Raw genomic sequence first — 25897 nt, 5'->3', positions numbered from 1 at the left:
CTCTCAATGGTCAGAAACCACAGAGGAGAAGGAGTGACTCCCAGAACATCCAACATTCAGCCTCCCCTTATTACTCTTCATTCTTTTTCATCCTTAAAGAATCCTTCTGGCCACTCCCACTAGGCATTGTCATCTCCCAAGAATTACAAACTATCCATGGATTCCTTCATCTTACAAACCTACCTGCTTCGTGGTAGGCACTGTATTAGGTAAGGGGACTAGAAAGATAGAGGAGGTGCAGTCTTTTCCCTAAGGAGTCTTCAGTCTAGCAGGCAGGAGTAGAAATGTGGACCAACTGTCCTGAAGTGTGACAGTTGTATAGATAGACATTTGAACAACATATGGTGGGGTATTAAAAAAAAACAGTTAACACTAAACTCAAAAACAGATAAGGGAGGGATAAGAAAATGCATCATAAAGGAAGTCTGCCGTAAACTAAGTGTTTAAAGTTTGGTTCATTGGATGGAGGGGACAGGACAGAGTCTCTGTCTTTCTCCCTCCTTTTTTGCTCCTTCCCCCATGCCTAATATGCTTTGTATAAAACCACCTGTATGCAAAACAGATCAATCCAGCTACTATCCTATTAAAAATATAGTGCATTGGCTATAAGCTTAAGTTACTAACTTGCATATTCATTTACATGGCAATTCCTGTAACCTTGCCTCTTAAGAAAACTAGACGAAATAAAATTAATTACCAAAGGCAGCCAGCAGCAAAAATATCCAAACCTTAATTCTAGGTACAAGCTACAGAACATGGCACAAAGTGGACTGTGGTGGGGGTCTGTAGATAAGGTGAAGCAATAGTTTTACATCAAAAAATTATTGGGTTCTATACAAGTGCAATCATAAATGAGGCATTGGAATTTGGCTTCACATTGACTAAACTGTTGAGCCATGGTTCACTCATTAACATTCTGTGTTAATGATATTCTAGTTATCATTAAAAAAGTAAAGGTGAAACTGAGAAACTATAAGCAATAAAACTTGGTGTTTAGGAGAAAATAATTTATCATCCATAATATATAATTTTGAAAGATTAAAAACACATTCATCTCAATACAAAAATTCAATAATGCTTGAATTACTTCCAACGTGTTCATCCAAGGTGAACCTTCACATTTTTACAAACTCTTTTTCTTTATGAATTTTTGTTGACTAAGAACAAATTTTTTTCATTTTCTGAACTTCAAAATTATGCATTTTTCTATATGCTATACACATGAAACTTATGCTTCCTATGTATTAATTTTACAATTTTAAATTCCTTGGAAGATATCTTGTTTTTAAGTATTAAATTCAACTTTATTAGCATGTGTTCATTATCTAATAAAACAAAATGAACCATAGAAAGCAGGGATCCCCAGACTTTTTAAATAAAGAGTCAGGGAGCAGACATTTTAGACTTTGCTGACCACATACAGTCTATGTCACATATTTATCTTTGTTTTTTTTCTTTTAACAACCTTAAAAATGTAAAGACAATTCTTAGCTATGGGCCAAACAGGTCTTAATTTGACCCGTGGGCCTTACTTTGCAAACCTCTGAAAAGCCTTGATATCAGAAACCTATATGCCTATAAATAACTATAATACAAGGGAGATATATTAATGCTATGTACGAAATAATGAAATTGGTGGATATGTAGAATATGGTTCTTTTCCAGTGTTCCTTTGCTCAGCAACGGTATCATTATCCATAAAGCTATGAAGCTGGAAACCGTTGAGTCATCCTCAACATGACTCTCTCCCTTTCTCTCATGCATTATATTGAATCTATCATCAAGTTCCATCCATTTTACTTCCTAAACGTTTCTCAACTTGATTCACTTCTACCTCACTGCCACAGTCCTATAAAACTATCATTACCCTTTACTTGGAATGCAAGATTCCTAGATTCCTAACTGGTGTCTCTAATCTACCCTCATCTATTTTTCTTCTCTACCAAAAGTCTAGTTTTTCTTCTGATTTCTTTTATTTTTTCTCACTTTCTCTCCTTTCCCATCCCTTCCTGAACAATTCAATCCTAAACCATCTTTGGTATGGGAGGTGGTACAGAGCTAACATAGCCTGGTATGGGTGTCAGAACCTGCACTGGGTGAAGACAGTGTTAATGTGAGGAAGGAGTGTGTCCTGATGCGGAGTGTCAGAGCCCAAGCCAGTTAAGGAAGGCATCTTATGGGAGAGTGGCTTGCAATGGGAATCAGAGTCAGAGCAGGGAGGGAGTGGCAGGGAAGATGGGAGATAAGTTACATACACTGGGATTGATCAAATAGGTAAATATATTTAAGGTTATTGGAAGCCAGGTTTTTCACTATCTGAGAAGGAAATTGCAAGTATAGAAAGAGAAGAAACTGGAATGATCCCTGTGATCTGTGGTACTAGATTGGGATTGAAGGTATCAGTAGATTTATGGTTTTTAGTATGTAGGTAGACAGATACAGATAAAGGTGTAGATGTAAATGTAATTGGTGTGTGTATGTATGTTTGTACTGAAAAAAAAAAGGAGCCAAACAAATAAAATTATGGGAAAATGGCAAAAGGACATGAAACCAGCTCAAATGGCTTCCACTGATCAAATCTGCTTCATGGTGTAGCCCAGGGGTTTTTAAACATTCTGTATAATCATCAACTTAAAAATACAATGCCAGGAGTGTCCATAGTTTGTGGTAGCACGTAGACAGATATAGATATGGGTATAGAAGTAAATGTGATGGTATTTGATATTTTCCTCTTGTAGTTCTCATGGAATGTCTTGACTGGTGTAGAATAGAATTGAATCATTATCTTTTAGAGTCTAGATTTGATAATTCTGCTAATATAGTCTAGGATCACATTAATTATTGGGTGGGAGAGACATTTGGGCGGTAAGAGGACATTTACTATTGGTGATATCAAGTTTTCCGTCTATTGAAATGTTAATATATTTTCTTCATGTCCAGCTGCTAAGCTACATTGTTTTTAAACTATATGTATGAAGCTGAGATGTTTCACTGGGTCATGTGATGCCTCATTATTCTATTGATTTATTTGAAAAAACATTGTGAACATGAAATCATGTCAAAGGCTTTCTTATGCTGACAGGTGGCCAGGGGCTGAAGAATGCTGATTATCCCCCTCCTTTGTGATGTCATATTACCTTTAGAGCCTTCAATTTCACCACTTGCGTGGACCATAATAGTTTTTATGTCTCCCAATGTAGTTTGTAGTTTGCTCCCCCGTGGATTGCCTATTACTTCCGGGTCAAATTATATGTTATCTATTTCTACCCTCCGACACCCACCTTTACAGTAGCTGCTTATTAGTGTGTGACTGGTCTGGTGAGTAAGCACAGTGAAGGGACTGGCCTCAGAATGCACACTTACGGAGCCAGATAATGGTTCTCAATGACTGACCGCGTCCAAATGGAGAGGAAAACAGACATTAAATGCCTCCTGAAGAACCGCTGACACCTATGATGTAGTCTTGCAGAGCAAAAATTGGCCCTGAGCCCGATCAAGCCTCAGGGTGTAACTACCAATGTATAGGAAATAGACAAAACAGAAGAATGTGTTAAATGGCATTAAAGGCATGTAGCTCAGCAAAATCCAGACTGTGGGGGAAATTCTATAGAAAAAACAACCCAGCTATTTCAATTAAGATTTTTAAAAGCAAGAAAAAATAGACAAAAGGAGGAATTTATAGATAAAATGAGGCTTAGGAGACATTTCAATTCATCACAGGGTCTGAATCATATCTGCAAAACAATTCAAACAAACAAATGGAAAAAGCGTTTTAAGATCAGAGAAATAGAAACATGAAATACTTAATGATACTAAGCAATTAATTTTCTAGGTGTGGTAATAATGATGCCAATTATAATCCCAAAAGACACAATTCCGAATGCTGTAATCCCAAATGTTGAAACCCCAAATGTTGAGATACTGAAAGCTGAATTCTGGCGATGGGATTAGCGCATTTTTGGTTGCATAAAAGGTAGTTGTATCATGTTAGTTGCATCATGTTTGGTGGAACTAGCACCTTGTTGTGGTCTTTATTTGGAAATTAAATATGGTGTAAGGAGATGCAAGTAAGTGTCATGTTAACAAGAGGTGAATTTGTGGACTTAATTTTAGATGTAAACTTAACCAGATTAAGGAATAACTAAAAACCTGGTAAAGCATTATTTTGGGTGTGTCTGCGAGGACGTTTCCACAGGAGATTATGTATGAGTCTGAGAGGACTATGTGGGGAAGATCTGCCCTTGGTGGTGGGAGACACCATGCCGTGGGCCAGGAGCCCAGGAGCCCAGAGATAACAAATACAGAAGGTGAATTGATCTGTCTCTGAGAGCTGGGACCAACTTGTCCCATCACAATTTTTGATCGATCTCATCAAAAGACTTAGGATGCTCTTCACGGTATTTCAGATGAACTAAGAAAGCTGGGTGCACACATTTACTAACCATAGTGATATGCGTTTATACATTTCACTTTTTGACCTATTTCCTTTTTTTCCTTCAACTTTTATTTTAAGTTCAGGTGTTCATGAGCAGGGTGTGCAGGTTTGTTACATAGGTAAATGTGTGCCATGGTGGTTTGCTGCACAGATCAACCCATCACCTAGGTATTAAGTCCAGCATCCATTAGCTATGCTTCCTGATGCTCTCCCTCCCCACCGACACCCCCCAGTAGGCCCCAGTGTGTGTCGTTTCCCTCCATGTGGCTTTTTGACCTATTTCTTTGTGAATATGATTCATAATTGTTATACCCATGTGACTGTCTTTAGCATACCTGAGTGTTTATGTTTATGAAAATATGTATGTTATTATTGTCCATTTTATTGTGTAAAGTGGCCTATGGTCTGTTGTGTTTTTATGTTTCTCAAATAAATCCTCTTTAAAACATGTAAATGAATGTCTTTTAAAGAATTTTTTATGATTTATTTTAGGAATTTGACCTTTCGGGATTTGAGATTGTGGCATTTTGAGTTGTATCTTTTGGGATTATGAACCCAGTAACAACAAAGATCAAATGGACTGACTCTCTATTCTGTTGCATTGATCTATATGTCTCTCTTTATGTCAATATTATATTAACTTGATTACTATAGCTTTATTTTATTTAAAAACACAGAATTTAATATCTTCTTTAATTCACTAAATAGGATACAAAAAGCATGAACCACAAAAAAATGAGAAATTGGACTTCACCAAAATTTAAAACTTCTATTTTTTCCACACGCACTTTCTGCTTATCTAAAAAACTTGTTTTTTGAACAACACTATTAAGAAAATAAAAGCTGGGTGCAGTGGCATGCCCCTGTAGTAGTCCCAGCTACTTGAGATGCTGAGGTGGAAGGATTGCTTGAGCCCAGGAGTTTGATGATTGTAGTGTACAATGATTGCATGCCTCTGAGTAGTCACTGCACTCTAGCCTGGGCAGCATACATCTCTAAAATAGTAAGTAAGCAAATAAAATAAATTTTTTAAAATGAGAAGATAAGCCACAGACTGGGAGAAAATGTTTATGACACTTGCTAACAAAGGGCTAGTATCCAGAATATATAAAGCACTCTTACTACTTAATAATAAGACAAATAATTCAGAAAAAAAGTGGTGAAAAGATTTGAACAGACACCTAAATAAGGGTGGTGTATAAGTGCATGAAAAAATACTCAACATTATTATTCACTGAGGAAATGAAACTTAAATCCACAGTGAGATACCATAAAACACTCATGAGAATGACTAAAGTTAAAAAGACAGACAATACCAAGTGATGGTGAGAAGGTGAAGGAAATGGATCTCTCATGGATTTCTGGTAAGAATTCAAAATAGTAGCACCGTTTTGGAAAACGGTTTGTTAGTTACCTAAAAAGTTAAATATAAAGTGCCCATACGACCCATCAGTTCCACTCCCAAGAGGAATGAAAATATATGTCTACACTAAGGCCTGTATGTAAATGTTTATAGTTGATTCATCCATAAGAGCCACAAACTGGGAACAACCCAAATGTCCATCACCTGATGAAAGGAAAAACAAATTTTGGCATACCCACATGGTGGCATATTACTCAACAACAAAAGGAACAGACTGTAGATCCCCATGCCAGCATGGATAAATCTCAAGAGCATTTCATTAAATGAAAGAAATCAGACATGAAAGACTACATAGTATATGACTTCACTCGTGTAATATTCTGAAAAAAGTAAAACTGTAAACATAGAAATCAGAGAACAGGAGACAGGAGTTGGGAGTCAGAGGTGGGGATTAAAGACAGGGGAACCCTTTGGGGTGTGAAACATTTCCTATATGTTGATGGTGATGGTGCGTAAATGACTATATACAATTGTCAAAATTCATCAAGGTGTACACTTCAAAAAGATAAAGTTACTGTCCTCCCACTGCTGAATTTGACTGGCTTAAAAAACATAAATGTTACTGTATATAAATTATAACTCAAAAGTGATGAATAAAGGGGAAGAGAGCACAGAAGTTCTGTATTCTCCCAGAACTTTAGCAGGTAACTTGACTGTCCCAGTAATATTCTGAATAATTTTTAGCCATATGAAAAATAATTAGCAGGTACTTTGACTGTCCCAGTAATTATTCTTCATATTATTAAAAATTATTCATGTCTGTCCATAGTGCTTCACTAAGGTCAAGCTGTAACTTTACATGCTGAAAAAAGAAAAACAAGGAGAAAAAAATGAGACGATCTAAGGATGGATACTGGGATTAAAAAATAAAAACAGTTTATTTTATTTTCACAGAAAAAGACTGACCTGTTGAGCAAACTTCTTGATGGTGAAGGGCATGAGGATCCCATCTATTATTGACTAAACATTTATGAAGCAAAATTGTTCTACTTTGTTGTAATGACCACTGTATCTATGTTTTTCAGGTTCTACAGAGAGTACTACTAGATGGAAGTAGCTGTAATAAACCAGAGATTGTAAAGCAGTAAATTCTACAGGATAGCCTTTATTTGTAGCCTTCAACCCTTCTTCAGAGCTCCCTCTTCCTCTCCTTTCAGATAGAAAAATGATTTGGAAAAAAAACTACCCAAGATATTTGAAGTTTAATGGGTTAGTCCTCTGTGGGAATGAGCCTCCAGTGAAAGATGCTTAACACAAAGAAATTTCCTGTTAATAATGGTTTGTCACTTCAGTGGGGAAGGAATGGCCCAAAGCAGCCTCCTTTTTGACTCCTTGAATTGTATCATGTCAGTGATAATTTCCACTGCTGAGGTACTCATTCTAGGCAGCATCTAAAGAAAATTTTGTATTTCTTTCTGGTGAGTATCTTTTTCAATGTTTTAGCTTACAAAAGATGAGTTAAAAGGCAGGGATACACTGGAAGGTGGCTCACCTAGCTGTTATCACTGGCACTATGCTCTGATAGCTTTCCTTGTAGCTCTGGGGTTGGTTAACAGGTTTGGTTAACTCTGATTGTATGCTCACAAATTAATTTAATCCTCCATCCTCAGTCCTGTTTTAGTCTCAAGCTTCATGTTCTTCCCTGGTGAAGTAATCATCTTCCACACCTTCAGCTACCACCAGTATGCTGACAATTACCAAATCCATCTGTCTTGTGTCAAAAACGATATATTTGGCCACCTACTGGGCATCTCCAGTGGAATGGTAGGTAGACCTTTCTGAAACATGTATGCTTCCCATTATATTTCTTATTTGGGGATGGCACAAAGATCTATTCCGTCACCAAGGTCAGAAAATTGAGATTCAACTTTCTCTCCTTTTCTCTTATCACCTATATAAAATCAGGCTCCAAATCCTGAAGAATCTAAGTTCTTCATATTATTTCAAAACATTTGCTCCCATCCTCCTGTTCCCTGCCTTATTTCTGATCCCTCTGATCTCTTACACAGAGTCTACCACCTGTACTGGACGTTTATCTTTTATTTTTTGACCATTCCAGAATCTAGCCTCTTACTTCCTATTTTGGGGATCCTCTAGTTGTTCCTCCAATACCCATTTCCCTTCTTCCTAGTAGTAGGATTTTAATTGCCCACATGGCCACACAGGATCCTGACTTTGTTAGTTTTTCTTGTAGCTAGGTGTGGCTATGTCATGAAGTTCTGGACAATGGCATGTGACTAGAAGAGAGATATGCCACATCCAGGTTGTGCTCTTAAAAGAAAGGAACATGCCATCTTATTTTTCCCCCTTGCTCCTGCTAGCTGGAATGGAAAAGTGATGGTGGGAATCGGAGGAGCCATCTTGGGCTGTGCAACGGAACCCGTGAAGTATTGCAGAGTGAAAAGGCAGAGGCAGGCTGGGCCAGCAATAGCTTCACAAAGAGCTGCCAAACCAACTTGGGCCTTCGTAGGAGGAAGAAATACACTTCGGTTTGCGTCATTGTTAATTTTGGTCTTTGTTACTGTGGCCAGACAGATACCCTAACTAATGCTCATTTTATGAAGTCATAGCAGCTCATTATTCCTTACTCTGCTACCTGGCTACCAAGGCAAGGGCAAATGGCCTAAAGCTGCCAAGCTGGGATCCCACTGGGGTGATTAGGACTAATTCAGGGCAGTGGTGGCAGCGATGACCTATTGCAGCAGAAGCCTGTCAGATTCATGAGACGGCTGCTGTGCGTACTCCAAACTAGCTATGCTCCTGCCCATTTCCTAGTCTGATCTTCCAGCATCTTGATAACTTGGCGCATTTTTGATACATCTCCAATAAATTTCTCTTTTTATTTAAGTGAGCAGAATAGGTTTATATGACTTGTAACAAAAAAGACTCCAAACTGATGTACCAAATTTCGATTTCACTTTCTTCCAATCTATTCTCTATGCTTCTGCTGAAGTGGTGTTTGTAAACTGATTTAATCCTGTATTTTCCCTGCTTAATACTCATCAGTGATTCCCCAGTCATTGCCTCCAGGATAACCTCCTTAGTCAGGCATATGAAGCCTTCCATGATCTGGCCTCCTATGTCTCTCTTGGGACCTGTTGCTACACCTCGTGGTTCAGCCACGCTAAATCACCCAGCTAGCACAATATCTTCACATTGCCTGTATTTCTGCCTGGAATTCCTAACTCCTCCTTCTCATATCTACTTGTCAATTCTTATTCAAGAGACACCTTAGGGTTCCTTACCTCTGTAAAGCTTCCCTAACTGCCCCCACACTGGTCATCCGTAGTAGATAGACAACTCTGTCCTTTGGGCTGTACACTGTATCCTGTCCTTAATCATCTTTCTACCACCTCACCAGGACCTCACCTGCCTTCATGTCCGCCTCCACAATATTGCGCTACATTTCTACTTATAGCACCTGTTTTTTTTTGAATGATTGGTGCTTAGTATAGTAGACCTGTATTAAATAAAAGAAAAACATTTGAAAAGTTTAAAAATAAACCGATAGGTGGCAGCAGAGCCCTGCTGTTAAAAGTAACTTTTGCAGTTCTAAACGTTTTTAACCCTCATGAGCCAGCAGGTGGTGCTGTCTGACACCAAAGCGCCACGTCACAACGGATGCGCAATCACTATTTTATGTGAGTGCAGATTTGTATTAAAACCGGAAAGCATGGACACCCAGACAGCTTACTGTCAATGACTGTACTATTCACTGTCTTCAACAAAAGTCAGCTATTCCAGGAAACTCTCGTCCAGAAAGATAAAAATTGCAAGTAACTGTTTTTTGTTTCAGGAAATTCCCCAGAAAACAACCCTTGAGAAAACCAGACTGTTCAACTTTCCCGCTGATAGCGCTGAACAACCTTTTACTCCTCAGGACTCTTCAAAATCCATGGCATTTACTGATCCTTAATTACCACATCACGATCTTTACCAAATTCTGATCAACCTCATGCCCCCACCTTGAAAGACCCACCTTCAATGTTATAAATATCCCAACTTTGGCACCTGGCTTTGAGACACTACTAAGAATCTAGATAGTGTGAACCCAAAATATCTGAGACAGGTCTCAGTCAACTTAGAAAGTTTTTTTTTTTGCCAAGGTTAAGGACGTGCCTCAGGAGGTCCTGACAGCATGTGTCCAAGGTGGTTGGGGTACAGCTTGCTTTTATAAATTTTAGGAGAATGAGACATCAATCAATATGCGGAAGATTTACATGGTTCGGTCTGGAAGGGTGGGACAATTCGAAGGGTGAGGAGAGAAGAGGAGCTTCCGGGTCATAGGTAGGTTTAAACATATTCTGATTGGGAATTGGTTGAAAGAGTTACGAAAGGAATGTCTGGGTTACCAGGAGGGGTTGTAGAGACCACGGTTTTATCATGAAGATGAAGCCTCCAGGTAGCAGGCTTTAAAGAAAAATAGATTGTAAGTATTTCTTATCAGACTTAAGGTCTGTGTTAATGTTAATGAGGCATGTCCAACCCTCACTTCCCGTCACGGCCTGAGCCAGTCTTTCAGGTTAAATTTTACATGCCCTGGCCAAAGAGTTAGTCCATTCAGATCGTTGCCAGGGGCCTTCAAATTCTATTTTTGGTTTACCGCAGGGGTCTCCTACCCCTGCAATAACTTTACCTAAAGGTATCCTGTTAGGAACCAGGCTGCATAGCGGGAGGTGGGAAGCAGGCAAGTGAGCATTACTGACTGAACTCCGCCTCCTGTCAGATCAGCAGCAGCTTTAGATTCTCATAGCAGTGCGAACCCTATTGTGAACTGTGCATGTGAGGGATCTAGGTTGTGTGCTCCTTATGAGAATCTAATGTCTGATGATCTGAAGTGGAACAGTTTCATCCCCAAACTATCCCCACCTGACCACCCCATCCGGAGAAAAATTGTCCCATGGAAGCTGTCCCTGGTGCCAAAAAAGGTTGGGGACCAGCAGTTCACAGTAGCCATCTCCCTATGGCGGTGAGCAATAAACTCAACTTTGCCTTATGAAAAGGTTCTTTCACTGGTGTTTGAGAGAAGCCGGCATTTGACAATATATGTCAACCTAAACAAACAAAAGTATTTTAGGGCTTTGCTACTCAGAGTGTGGGGTTGGTTTAAAATGCAGGGTCTCAGGCCCCACCTCAGTCCCGTAGAATCAGAATCCGCATTTTCACAAGATGCCCAGGTGACTGTGTGCACATTGCAGGCTGTGGTCTTGGGCATTATTCTTCTAAAGAATGAGTGCAGGCTGGGCGCGGCGGCTCTTGCCTGTAATCCCAGCACTTTGGGAGGCCGAGGTGGGTGAATCACAAGGTCAGGAGTTCGAGACCAGCCTGGTCAACATTTTTAATAGAAACCCCTTTTCTATTAAAAATACAAAAAATTAGCTTGGCGTAGTGGTGAGCGCCTGTAATCCAGCTACTCGGGAGGCTGAGTTACGAGAATCGCTTGAACCTGAGAGGTGGAGGTTGCAGTGAGCCGAGATCACGCCACTGCACTCCAGCCTGGGTGACAGAGCGAGACTCTGTCTAAAAAAAAAAAAAAAAGAATGAGTGCAGATGAAAGTTTAAACTTTAAAGAACAGTGGTTTTGTTCTTTTGTTTTTAGTCGGTTTATCACCAACAGAATAGGAGAAAGATTTGGATTAAAATTTCTGCTTTGTTTAAAAATTCTTCAGTTTTGTGACCTGCCTTAAGAGGATGAGTGGGTTTTTCAGGTATATGGGGAAACATTTATCTGCTGAATTCTTTTAGATCATTAAAAACAAAACAAACACAAACCTGCCGGTTTTTCCTAGGAGGCACCTGTGAGGACGTGGGCTTGTATTTCCTAGATACATTTTAAATCCACAAGCATAGTATATTCAGTAATATCTAGAAAGCTGGTTGATATAAAGGTTTTCTAAATATATATATTTTAAATTTGGATCTGTTATTTATACCACACTTTCTTATGTGTTATATTTGTACCTTTTTTCAGTGGTGAGTCCCATTTGTCTTAATGATTTCTGCTGATATACCAAACAGATGTGATGAAAAGAATAAGTATTTGCCTTCAGAAGGCATGGATTAAAATCCCAGCTCTAGGCTAGGAGTGGTGGCTTATGCCTGTAAGCCCAGTGCTTTGGAAAGCTGAGGTGGGTGAATGGCTTGAGCCCAAGAACATGGTGAAACCTCATCTCTACAAAAAACACAAAAATTAGCTGGGTGTGGTGGTGGGTACCTGTAGTCCCAGCTACACAGAAAGCTGAGCGGGGAGGGTCGCATGAGTTGCAGTGAGCCAAGATCACACCACTGTATTCCAGCCTGGGTGACAGAGCAAGGCCGTGTCTAGCAACAGGCAACAACAACAACAGGGAAAATCCCAGCTCTGCTTCTGTCCGGCTATGTAACGTGGGCCTATCCCCTTAACCTCTCTGAGCCTCAGTTTTCTCATCCTAAGTGGGGAAAATATTATCTATATAAAAGAACTGATTGGGGGATTAAAAGAGAGTCTGTAATAAAACATCTGTAAACCACATTTGTTTTGTAGTCATTTCTCCTAAACCCTCATGCTGCCATAGCACGTATTACCAAGCAGCACAACGGAGGATATTAATGAATGAAATAATGCATCACCTATTAAGTCACTTTAATAGGAATAGAAGGGAGAGGCAAGAGTTTCTAGAGACGATGACTTACCACTCCCAAATACTGTTTCTTATGGCGGTAAATGACAGCTTTGGAGGTATGGTAGGTATGTGGTTTGGGTCTGGGTTATCTTATATCACACCCCACATTAGCTACCTACCTAACTCTGCATCAGACAGGTTACATGTATTTCATCTAAAGTAGTAACTCAGAAAGTGCACTTATCTTCTGTTGAATTTCCTTTCATGTCAGCCTCTCTAAAAAACCACCTGACCCACTGCTTTTTGCTATTGCTGCTTAAAGAGCTTGTTTCCCCCACCATGATTAGCTTTGTGCCTACACTAAGGCACTCCTACAGATTCTTCAACCTCTTCTCATGTGATGCAGAAAGTACAAAGGAGAGCCCTGGCCGAACTGTCCAGTTTAGTAAAACACCCAGAGGAGTAACTATGTTTATTTAGGGTGTTTCAGAGCTTGCTGCTCTGCCTAGTCTATTGTAAGAGCTCTGAAATTATTAGAGCTTTTCCTAAAAATATCCACACTTGGATGTGACTCAGTCATAGAAAAACAACTGACCCAAGAAACAGAGAGTCTGAGTTTTGGTTCTTGGTTTGTTTTGTTCTTATTGTGTTTTCATTTTGTTGCATGAAACATGAAACCTCCGGTCTTGGGATAGATTTGAGTCCTGACTCAGCCAGTGATAAGTTGTTTGACCTTGGGTGAGTTACTAAACTTCTCTGGGGCTAAATTTCTTCATCTAAGAAGTGGATTAGATACAGCAACATATTATAGTTCGAAGCTTCTGGCTGGACGTTGTGGCTCACGACTGTAATCCCAGCATTTTGGGAGGCTGAGGTGGGAGGATCTCTTGAACCCAGAAGTTCAAGACTAGCCTGGGCAACATGGCAAAACCCTGTCTCTACTAAATATACAAAAATTAGTCAGGCATGATGGAGCATGCCTGTAATCCCAGCTACTCAGGAAGCTGAGGTGGGAGGATCGATTGAGCCCAGGAGTTTGAGATTGCAGTGAACCATGATTGAACCACTATACTCCAACCTGGGCAACAGAGCAAGACCCTGTCTCAAAAAAAAAAAAAAGAAAAAAGAAAAAGTTTATGTGGAATATGCCAAACAGGTTCAGCCCCAGGTTTTTTCAAGGATCTATTTTTTAAAACTTCTTTGTAGAGATGGGTGTCTCACTATATTGCCCAGGCTGGTCTGGAACTCCTGGCCTCAAACGATCCTCCTTTCTTGGCCTCCCAAAGCACTGGGATTACAGGTGTAAGGCGCTATGCCTGGCCCCCACAAGGGTCTATCTATTGCCCCAGGAAACAGTTGACTGCTTCTAGACCCATTGGGTTGGTAGCTCTAGAGCAGCCATGAACTGTGCAGGTGATTCGGGAAAGTAGAAGATGGTGCTGAAAGAGACCCAGGGACAATCAGCTGACAACACACCCTTCTCACCTCTGTGTTCCTCTGTGAATGCTCTCATTTTAATAACTAGATTGAGTAGTCTTCTCCTCTTCTCCTCTTCCCAAATGAACATTTGCTCTGTCACAATATTTATCTTTGTAAAATGCAAATATGATCATTTTGGTCTTCTCTTTTAAAAGGTTGATAATTTATTGTTAATAGTTTGTGTGTGGCATGACACTTAATGCCTTCAGAATCTGCCCCAGTTTTACATTTACTCTTTGCCCTTTTCTGTATCTCCAAAGCATACCTTCGGACTGTCCACATAGCACTTGTATATGTCCTCTCAGCCTACCATGCACATCCTCCATGCTGTGACTATTTATATAGGCTACTAATTGTATAGGAAACATACTTCCTTACCTCTAGGTAAACTGTTTCTCATACTTCAAGTTCTAACTCAGTGATCATCTCCTGTAATCTCTTCATTCCCTCTGCAATTGATCACATTGCGTTATAATTTTTTTAAAAATCATCTAAGCCCATTCAAATGATTTATTTTCAACAAACATGTAAGCTCAATAATGAGTAACTAAAGGGAACTTATCCAATAAGATGAAGATGGCATCTCTTCTTCTAAGGTTTAGGTTTCAACCAGAATTCCTGAAACATGGAATAGCCCACAACAAGAGCCACTGCTCCCACAACAAAGCCTTGGGCTGCTACACACATGTGGATCATGAATGGACATTTTAGTATTTCCCTTGCTCTTCAACTCATGTAATCCGTATGCAACAATTGCTGAAAAGCCCACCATTCTAATGGGGACACTTGGTACCTCTTTAGCTTTTCAGATAAGTTCGGATCCTTGATCTTTTTTATATGAAGAAAGAGCAACACCTGTGCTGGCTGAAATAGTGATTGCCTGGAGAATCTTCCAAGAGTGACAAAACTCTTAACCATCCAACTGACTTCTTGTAGGTTGTTTTTATGCCTCGACCCCCAACCAGCAGATGAGCTTCAGGAAAGGCAGGTTCTTGGTTTTATTCTTCTTTATTTCCTCTATAGTGCCTAGCACACTTCCTTGAACATGGTAGTGCTTAATCAATCAGTGCTTGGTGAATAAACACATACTCTCCAAAGCAAAGTAGGAGAATAGGTCCTTTCACCTTCTCTTGACACATCTGGAAGACTCTTCTTTCATAAATTATTTTTGAAGTTTTCCCTCATTGTTTATTTTGTCAATCTAAAAAAAAATAACAGAGAGAGAGAGAGCCTCTACAAATAAGTGAATTTTGGGGGGAATGAGCAGAAGGATTATAATCCAGGGCACGCAGGCTATGTTGAATCATGGGCATATCTAGAGAGGCTGGGCAAGAAGAAGCTGTTACAGGCAAAAAGAAAACTTTTATGTAAGTTGTTCTGAAACAAAATCCATCAGCCATAGAGGCTCACTGCAGGAGCTGGTGATTACACATCAGTAACCCTGACTGTGGCTGGGAAGGTGCCTTCATAGAAGCAACTTAATCCGGATTTTTTTTGTGTGTGTGCTGGCAGAGAGTTCTTGTAATAGTGCTTGTCATAGGCACACATGCATAAAGACCTTCAGAGCACCTTTGTAATAGTTCTGATCTCAAACATACAAGCGTGAGAGCCCCTTCCTCATGACCCTCTGGCTCCGCTTTGCTTTGGGTCTGACGTAAGTGACTCCATCTTAGCATCGGCAGCTTTCACAATTTTAAAGTATTTTATTGGTAGGCAAATTAGGATGAAACCAATAGGGCTAGCAGGCATTAAGGATGGCTTTCTCAAGTGCAAGAGTGGGGAGAGCAGAGTGGGGGTGGTGGAGAAGGGGACAGGATTGTGGTGAATCGAGGAGTAGTGGATGGAGTCACCATGAGCATTCATCTCAGGCCTTCTGTTTGAAAAGGTGCTCCAAGAGAAGGGGACCTTTTAATGTTATCTGAGACTTGATGTTATCTCCAAATGAGATTTATCCATATAATTCCAGGTCTGTGCTAACGGGATTGAAGATGTCCAACACAAGAGTTTAAAATTGCATTCCAGTCCTGGAGGCTCACACTGCTTATAGTATTTTGCAGATTATTATTTTTAAATTGCAATTATCTGATAAACAGCACATACTAGTTGACATCTTTGTATTTTTGGCATAGCTTTTTTTTTCTATGTCATAGGATTTTCAAAAAATGGAAGTAACTGATAGCCTCTCTTAACTTATGAGGTTCCTAGGTAAGATAAGCAATGCAAACTAAAACTACCATGAATTACACTGACACACCCACAAAACTGGTAAAAATTTAACATGGAGGGCATACCAAATATTGGTGAGAATGTAGAGAACTGCAAACTCTCATGTGATTGTTATAAGAATTTAAATTGCATATCTACAACTATCTGATCTTTGACAAACCTGACAAAAACAAGCAATGGGGAAAGGATTCCCTATTTAATAAATGGTGCTGGGAAAACTGGCTAGCCATATGTAGAAAGCTGAAACTGGATCCCTTCTTTACACCTTATACAAAAATTAATTCAAGATGCATTGAAGACTTAAATGTTAGACCTAAAACCATAAAAAAACTAGAAGAAAACCTAGGCATTACCATTCAGGACATAGGCATGGGCAAGGACTTCATGTCTAAAACACCAAAAGCAATGGCAACAAAAGCCAAAATTGACAAATGGGATCTCATTAAACTAAAGAGCTTCTGCACAGCAAAAGAAACTACCATCAGAGTGAACAGGCAACCTACAAAATGGGAGACAATTTTCACAACCTACTCATCTGACAAAGGGCTAATATCCAGAATCTACAATGAACTCAAACAAATTTATAAGAAAGAAACAAACAACCCCATCAAAAAGTGGGCGAAGGACATGAACAGACACTTCTCAAAAGAAGACATTTATGCAGCCAAAAAACACATGAAAAAATGCTCACTATCACTGACCATCAGAGAAATGCAAATCAAAACCACAATGAGCTACCATCTCACACCAGTTAGAATGGTAATCATTAAAAAGTCAGGAAACAACAGGTGCTGGAGAGGATATGGAGAAATAGGAACACTTTTACACTGTTGGTGGGACTGTAAACTAGTTCAACCATTGTGGAAGTCAGTGTGGTGATTCCTCAGGGATCTAGAACTAGAAATACCATTTGACCCAGCCATCCCATTACTGGGTATATACCCAAAAGACTATAAATCATGCTGCTATAAAGACACATGCACACGTATGTTTATTGCGGCACTATTCACAATAGCAAAGACTTGGAACCAACCCAAATGTCCAACAAGGATAGACTGGATTAAAAAAATGTGGCACATATACACCATGGAATACTATGCAGCCATAAAAAATGATGAGTTCATGTCCTTTGTAGGGACATGGTTGAAATTGGAAATCATCATTCTCAGTAAACTATCACAAGAACAAAAGACCAAACACTGCATATTCTCACTCATAGGTGGGAATTGAACAATGAGAACACATGGACACAGGAAGGGGAACATCACACTCTGGGGACTGTTGTGGGGTGGGGGGAGGGGGGAGGGATAGCTTTAGGAGATATACCTAATGCTAACTGACGAGTTAATGGGTGCAGCACACCAGCATGGCACATGTATACATATGTAACTAACCTGCACATTGTGCACATGTACCCTAAAACTTAAAGTATAATAATAATAAAATAAAATTAAAAAAAAGAATTTAAATTGACAAAAATCTTCGAAAAACAAATTTTTATTATATAGCACAATTGAATATATACATACCTATGGCCCAGAAATTTTGCTCTAGGATATACATCTTGGAGAAATGCTGGCATATATTCACTAAGAAAAATGAATAAGAATGTACTTAGCAGCATTGTTTGTAATAGCACTAAAATGGAAATCATTCCAAGCCCATAATACTGGAATAGATGAATAAATTTCAGTAAAATCGTAAAACAATATTTTATAGCAATGAAACTGAAGTCTGAAGTTACAGAAAACAATATGGTTGAATCTCACAAAATGCTGGGTGAAAGAAGTAAGCTTAACAAATACGTGGATATATATATGAAGTTGAGCATTAGCCAATATTAAACTATATTATCTAGGGTTTTATATGTAGAAGGTAAAGCTATTAAGAAAACATTAAAAAGCAAAATAAAACAAAACAAAAGTCATGATAATAGTAATACTTCTAGCAACTTCTGAGGTGGTAATGTTCCATTTCTCGATCTGATGGTCCCTATATGGGTGTTTGCTATATAATTTCTTATCAAAATTGAATATATATGTTTTATGTTTCTGTTATATTGCACAATAAATAAATTTTAAAATTCAACATGTGTTTCGTATATTAAAATTTTAATTTGGGCTGGGTGCAGAGGTTTATGTCTGTAATCCCAGCATTTTGGGAGATTGAGGCAGGTGGATTGCTAGAGTCCAAGAGTTCAAGATCAGCCTGGACAACATGGCAAAATCCCATCTCTACAAAAAATAAGAAAATTAGCCGGGTGTGGTGGTGTGCACCTGGGGTTCCAGATACCTGAGAGGCTGAGGCAGGAGGATCACTTGAGTCAGGGAGGTCAAGGCTGCAGTGAGTTATGATTGCACCACTGCACTGTAGCCTTGGTAACAGAGCGAGATCCTATCTCAAAAAAATTGATTTGTGTTTCTTTTAGCCTAGGTTTAATATTAACCAAATAATACATAAAAGTTATCTTTGTATGTAAGTTAAACATCATTAGAATCTGCTAAGTGAGATATAAAGAGAAAAATAATCAAAGAAAATAGGGTCTGGAGGTCAAGTAGGCAGTTAAATGAAGAAAGTGGAATGTAATGATAAGAATAGGGTGGAGAGTCTGGTCTTAAACATGAAGACTGTTTGCCTAGAAGGCTTTTGTATACTTGCTGGTCCTTGGCTGGTGGCTGGGTCAGGGCAGCTGTAACCCCACGGGCAGGCACACACAAGGAGAAATTGGTGCAGGTTAAAGAGAGTTATCTGGGTAGAAAAGAAGGAATGACAAGGATGTTCTCCTGCTGTGTTTCTCAGGCCTTTCTTTGACTCTAGATCAAAGCATCTCAGTTTTGCTTCAATCTCTCAATCAGAAATAGCAGTAAGAATTCCTTTAGCCTTCTTGCAGCTCTGTCCTAAGTGTCTAGAGGCTGCCTCCGACCATCTCTAGGGTTAAGGTACTCAAATACTCACTACCATGTTAAAGAAAGTTATAGACCCTGCACTTACATATTACAATCACTACTTCCTAATGGTCTTTTGATTCACATTTATTTTTGAAGGATGAGTTTTTCTGTGACAGTCACAAAAGTTCCAGATTTAGACTCTTCAGTTTGGGATCACCACTCCATAATATAATACCAGACATCACCTAAAGGTATGTGCTCCGTGCTATGTTGCAAAGCATGGGGAGGGTGGTTTTTTGAGGCTGCTACACAATGTAGAGAGACTCCATTCTTCTCACTTTAGCCCTTGCCTATTCTTGTCCGGCTGTTACCATTCACTCACTCACTCATCCACTCATTGCACAAATAATTTCAACACCACAATATTTTCAAGATCCTCGTTAGGCACAAGTCTCCTGAATATTTGTGGAGAACTCCTGAAAAACCTCAAAATTTGAGGGATAATGGTATCTTGGTGCAGCCTCAAGGCCCATGCTGGACAATGTTAAACACATTTAGGGGAAAGATAGGTCTTTTTGAGATCCTCCATAAGCTCTTAGGAACTAACTGTGTCAGTGGTGACAAATGCAGGTCCTTTGCCTTAATCTGACATTAACTTTCTTTTCCTGCTTCTTTTTTTACTTTGGATGGGAGAAAGAAAGTCAAAGTGCCCACATTCCATGCCAGGGCTCTGGCCTCACAGTCCTGGCTGTAGCCTCTGACCTACCATAGCACCTGCCTGGCTGGCGGGCACTGATTTTGCATCACAGCTTGACCCTGCCTGAGGCCACCATACCATGCTCTTCAGCAGAGCCTTGTGGTCTCTGATGTTAGATAGTAAAATAACAATGATGATGACAAGAGGGCTTTTTGGGATCCCTAGGTCTGTGCTTTGGTTCTGTGCTACTGTCTTATTCAAGTCATCCAGGGTGGAGTCCATTTTTTCCTTCTGGCAATTTCTGCATCATTCTGTACCCAAAGAACTGCCTGACTTTGAACTTTTCTAAAAGCAAGGAGGCTTCTAGGAAGAGATGTGGCATGGATATAAAAATTTGTGATTGCAAAAATAAACTCATATGGTCAAATGATTTTCAACAGGGTGCCAAGACTACACAATGGGTGTCTTATTCTATTTTGTATTCCTATAAAGGAATACCTGAGGCTGGGTAATTTATAAAGAAAAGAGGTTTATTTGGCTCATGGTTCTGCAGGCTGTATAAGAAGCATGGTGCAGGATTCTGCTTCTGGTGAGGACCTCAGGAAACTTCCACTCAGAAGGTTAAGGGGAGCCAGCATGTCATATGGCAACAGAGAGAGCAAAAGAGAGAGGAAAGAGGTGCAAAGCTCTTTTTAACAATCATATCTCATGGGAACTAATAGAGGGACAACTCACTCGTTACTGTGAGGAGGACACCAAGTCACTCATGAGGGATTCGCCCCCATGACCAAAACACCTCCCACTAGACCCACTGCTACCATTGGGGATCAAAGGTTAACATGATATTTGGAGGGGACACACATCCAAATTATGTTATTCTGCTCCTGGTCTCCCAAATCTTGTGTCCTTCTCACATTGCAAAATGCAATCATCCCTTCCCAATAATCCCCAAAAGTCTTAACTTGTTCCAGCATTAACTCAAAAGTCCAAAGTCTCATCTGAGGCTTAAGGGAAGTTTCTCACAACTGTGAGTCTCTAAAATTAAAAACAAGTTATTTATTTCCAAGATATAATGGGGGTACAGGCATTGGGTAAACATTCCCATTCCGAAAAGGAAAAATTGGCCAAAGGAAAGGGGCAAGAGGCCTCACGCAATTCTGAAACCCAGCAGGACAGACATTAAATCTTAAAGGTACAGAATGCTCTCACTTGACTCCATGTCTCACATCCTGGGCACAATGGTAGAAGGGGTGGGCTCCCAAGGCCTTGGGCATCACTGTCCCCATGGCTTTGTTGAGCATAGCCCCTGTGGCTGCTCCCAGGGGTTGGGATGTGGTGCCCATGGTTTTTCTAGACTGAAGGTGCATGCTGTTGGTGGTGCTACCATTCTGGGATATGAATGGCAGTGGCCCTGCTCCCAGGGCTCCACCAATCAGTGCCCCAGTAAGGATGCTTTGCTGGGGCTCCAACCCCACATTTCCCCCTAGGCACTTCCCTAATAAAGGCTTTTTGCAGATAGGCTTCTGCCTGGGCACTCAGGCTTTCCAATACATCCTTTGAAATCTAGGTGGAAGCTGCCAAGCCTCCATGGCTTTTGCCTCTGTGTGCCTGCAGACTTACCACCATGTTGAAGCTGCCAAGGCTTATGGCTTGTGCCCTCTGGAGCAGCAGCCCAAGCAGTCCCTGGGACTCTTTGAGCTGGGGATGGAGGCAGAGCAGCAGGAAAGCAGCATCCAACAGGGCAGTGGCACCCTAGGCAGTTCCCCTGAAGCCATTCTGTCTTAGGACATTGGGCCTGTGATGGAGGGGTGGCCTTGAAGATTTCTGAAATGTCAGGGTCTTTTTCTCATTGTCTTGACCATCAGCATCTGGCTCCCTTTTATTATTGCCAATCTCTCTAGCAAGTGGTGACTCCAAGCCTCCTTGGATTCCTCTCTTTGAAAATGGTCTTTCCTTCTCTACCACACCTCTGCCACACCTTGTCTACCACACAGTGGGCTGTGAATTTGCCAAATTTTTATGTTCTGATTTCCTATTCATTATCAGTTCCAACTTTAGGTAATTTTTTTGCTCCCAAAACCGACCCTAGGTTGTTAGAAGCAGACATGACTCTTCTCGAATGTTTTGCTGCTTAGAAATTTCTTCTGCCAGATACCCTAAGTCATCAATCTAAAATTCAGCCTACCGCAAAGTCCTAGGACATGGACACAGTGCAGCCAATTTCTTTGCTAGGGCATAACAAGGGTGACATTTACTTTAGTTCCCTATAAGTTTCTCATTTTCATCTGAGACTTCATCAATATAGCCTTCATTGTCCCTAGTTCTATCAGCATTTTGATCACAACCATTTAACCAGTCTCTGAGAAGTTCCAAGCTTTCTCTCTTCTTCCTGTCTTCTTCAGAGTCCTCCAAACTCTTCCAACTTCTGCCCATTACCCTGTTTTCAAAACTGCTTCCACATTTTCAAGTTTCTTTATAGTAACACCCCATTTCTTGGTACCAATTTTCTGTTGTAGTTCATTTTGCACTGCTATAAATAAATATGTGAGGCTGGGTGATTTTTAAAAGAAAAAGGTTAATTTGGCTCACAATTCGACAGCCTGTACCAGAGGCATGGCACCAGCATCTACTTTCTACTTCTTGTAAGGGCCTCAGGAAGCTTACAATCATGGCAGAAGGTAAAAGGGCTGCAGGCATCATATGGCAAGACAGAGAGCAAGCAAGAGAAAGGAGGGAGATGCCAGGCTCATTTTAAAAATCAGATCTTGTGAAAACAAATAGAGAACTCACTCATTACCCTGGAGACTACTGTATTAGTCTGTTCTCATGCTGCTGATAAAGACATATCCATGACTGGGCAATTTACAAAATAAAGAGGTTTAATGGACACACAGTTCCACGTGGCTTGGGAGGGCTCACAATCATGGTGGAAGGTGAAAGGCACATCTCACATGGCTGCAGACAAGAGAAGAGAACCTGTGCAGGGAAATTCTCCTTTATAAAACGATCAGATTTCGTGAGACTTATTCACCATGATGAGAATAGCATGGGAAAGACCCGCCCACATGGTTCAGTTATCTCCTACCGGGCCCCTCCCACAACATGTGGGAATTATAGGAGCTACAATTCAAGATGAGATTTGGGTGGGGACACAGTCAAACCGTATCAACTACGCCAAGCCATTCATGAGAGATCCACCTACATGACCAAACACTTCCAACAATGGGGATCAAATTTCAACATGAGATCTGGAGAGGACAAATGTCCAAATTATACCAATGGAGGAAAGGACAATTCCTTCAACAAATGGTGTTGGGAAAAGTGGATACTCAAATGCAAAATTATGAAGTTAGACACTTACCTTACACCATATACAAAAACCAACAAAATGGATTAAATATCTAAACACAAGACCTAAAGCTATTACACTCCTAGAAAAAAGGAGAGGAAAAAATGTTTATGACAATGGATTTGGTAATGATTTACTGGATATGACTCCAAAAGCACAGGCAACAAAAGCAAAAGTAGGCAAATAGTATGACAGGAAAGTTTAAGGTTAACTTCTGCTTGTTAACATAATTAACAGAATGAAAAGGCAATCTATGGATGGGAGAAAATATTTGAAAATGACATATTTGATAATGCATTTTAAATATATATAAATATGTATTTAACATGTATATATACACATATACAAAAATTATAATTAAAAATGTATTTATGGAACTTCTACAACTCAACAACAAAATGACCTGATTCAAAAGTGGGCAAATAACTTGAATAGAGAATTCTCCAAAGAAGATATACAAATGGTCAACCAGCATATGGAAAGGTGCTTAATATTACTAATCATAAGATAAATGCATGTCAAAACTACAATGAGATTTTACTTCATGTCCCTTAGGATGGCTACTATCAAGAGAAGAGAAAACAACAAATGTTGGTGAGGATGTGGAGAAACTGGAACCCTTGTGCCCTGTTGGTAGGACTGTAAAATGGCGTGGCCATTATGGAAAATGGTATGGAGGTTCCTCAAAAAATTGAAAATAGGATTATCAGATGATCTGGCAATCCCACTTCTGGGTATATAGCCACAAGAATTCAAAGCAGGGTTTTGAAGAGATATTTGCATGCCATGTTTATTGCAGCCTTATTCACAATAGCCAAGAGGTGGAAACAACTCAGATGAGTGGACATATAAGTCAGAGATATATGCAATAGAATATTACCCAGCCTTAAAAAAAGGAGGGGCCAGGTGCTGTGGCTCACCTGTAATCCCAGCACTTTGGGAGGCTAACGTGGGTGGATCACTTGAGGTCAGGAGTTTGAGACCAGCCTGGCCAACATATAGTGAAACCCCGTCTCTACTAGAAGATATAAAAATTAGCTGGATGTGGTGGCGCATGCCTGTAGTTCCAGCTACTTGGGAGTCTGAGGCAGGAGAATCGCTTGAAACTGGGAGGAGGAGTTTGCAATGAGCCAAAATTGCACCACTGCATTCCAGCCTGGGCAACAGAGTAAGACTCTGTCTCTCAAAAAATAAAAACAAATTTGTAATACCACAATTATCTGGATAATTTATAAACAAATTTGTAATACCACAATTATCTGGATCATTTTCCTTCTTCACAAATCAATGTAGAAATTTTTACTTTTTACTTTTCAAGTTTTGAAGTATGGGTTTTTCTCATTTAAACCAGTGGTTCTCAATCTGGGCAATTTTGTCCCATAGCAGACATTTGCCAGTGGAGATATTTTTGGTAGTCACAACTTGGGAAAAGGGGGTGCTACTGGCATCTAGTTGGTAGAGGCCAAGAATGCTATATCCTATAGTCACCAGAGCCCCCCACGACCAAGAATAATCTAGCTCTTGGCTCTATGAGCCCATCTCAATAGTGCCAAGGTTGAGATAAGCCCTGATTTTAAAAAAATCAGTTAATAACCGAAAACAAAATTATTAAATGTATACTATTAAATGTTACACTTGTTAATATGTGAGTTTTCATGCAATTATATTTAGAAATAAAAATAACATTATGAGTAGTAACATTTCTGGGGTTTCTGCTTTGGTAATTAAAGCAGGGTAAATCTCAGTTTAATTATAGGACAGCCAGAGTCTCAGTTTCTATGCTGTTCAAATTCACCGAAGAGGAAGAGATGAACTATTAGGGTTAGAAGACTAGCCGGTTGCAATCAAATATTTTTAGGAGTAACTGAGTTGTTCTTTTAGCAGTTGCTTTATGTAAGAAATTTAGTTTATGTATGTAACATCCAAGGTCCTAGCAAATGTGAATGAATAATCAGTTATCCAATTTTCCATCTGTCATCTTATTGTCATCAATAAGAATAACATTTGATGAAATTATGTCTTAGGCACTTCCTAAATTATCCCAAAATGTCAGAAACATTTTATTAGAGTTTGTTCCTTTTAACAAAAATACTACTAACATGCAGTTTATTAGCAAGCGGATCTTTTTTTTTTTTTAACTTTTATTTTAGGTTCAGGGCTGCATGTGCAGGTTTGTTACGTAGGTAAACTCGTGTCACGGGGGTTTGTTGTACAGATTATTTCATCACCCAGGTATTAAGTCCAGTATCCAATAGTGATCTTTTCTGCTCCTCTCCCTCCTCCCACCGTCCACCCTCAAGTAGACGCCAGTGTTTGTTGTTTCCTTCTTTGTGTTCATAAATTCTCGTCATGTAGCTCCCACTTATAAGTGAGAACATGCGGTATTTGGTTTTCTGTTAATGCATTAATTTGCTAAGAATAATAGCCTCCAGCTCCATCCATGTTCCTGCAAAATACATGATCTCATTCTTTTTTATGGCTGAATAGTATTCCATTGTGTGAATATACCACATTTTCTTTATCCAATCTGTCATTGATGGGTATTTAGTTTGATTCCAAGTCTTTGTTATTGTGAATAGTGCTGCAGTGAAGATTCGTGTGCATGTGTCTTTATAGTAGAATGATTTATATTCCTCTGGGTATATACCCAGTAATGGGATTGCTGGGTCAAATGGTAGATCGAGCTAATGGTAGCTTTTAGCTCTTTGAGGAATTGCCATACTGCTTTCCACAATGATTGAAATATTTTTTACTCCCACCAATAGTGTATAACTGTTCCGTTTCTCCAAAACCTGGCC

General features: G+C 39.7%; 1 long non-coding RNA gene and 1 pseudogene across 1 annotated transcript in view; one reads left to right on the top strand and one right to left on the bottom strand.

The window, feature by feature from the left end:
• Positions 1-9515: 9515 nt before the first annotated feature.
• The window catches only part of LOC440084 (uncharacterized), a 56469-nt gene continuing 40087 nt past the window's right edge, over positions 9516-25897 (top strand). The window contains exons 1-2 of the long non-coding RNA NR_148969.1: positions 9516-9630; positions 10043-10145. This is a non-coding gene — a long non-coding RNA (uncharacterized LOC440084). The remainder of the gene's footprint in view (positions 9631-10042; positions 10146-25897) is intronic.
• Positions 14534-14831, bottom strand: HIGD1AP8 (HIG1 hypoxia inducible domain family member 1A pseudogene 8; annotated as a pseudogene).

Source organism: Homo sapiens, chromosome 12, assembly GCF_000001405.40.
Source record: "Homo sapiens chromosome 12, GRCh38.p14 Primary Assembly".
In the NCBI taxonomy this organism is placed as follows: domain Eukaryota; kingdom Metazoa; phylum Chordata; class Mammalia; order Primates; family Hominidae; genus Homo; species Homo sapiens.
Note: the sequence above shows the minus strand (reverse complement) of the source record. Positions and strands in the feature narration are given on the sequence as shown.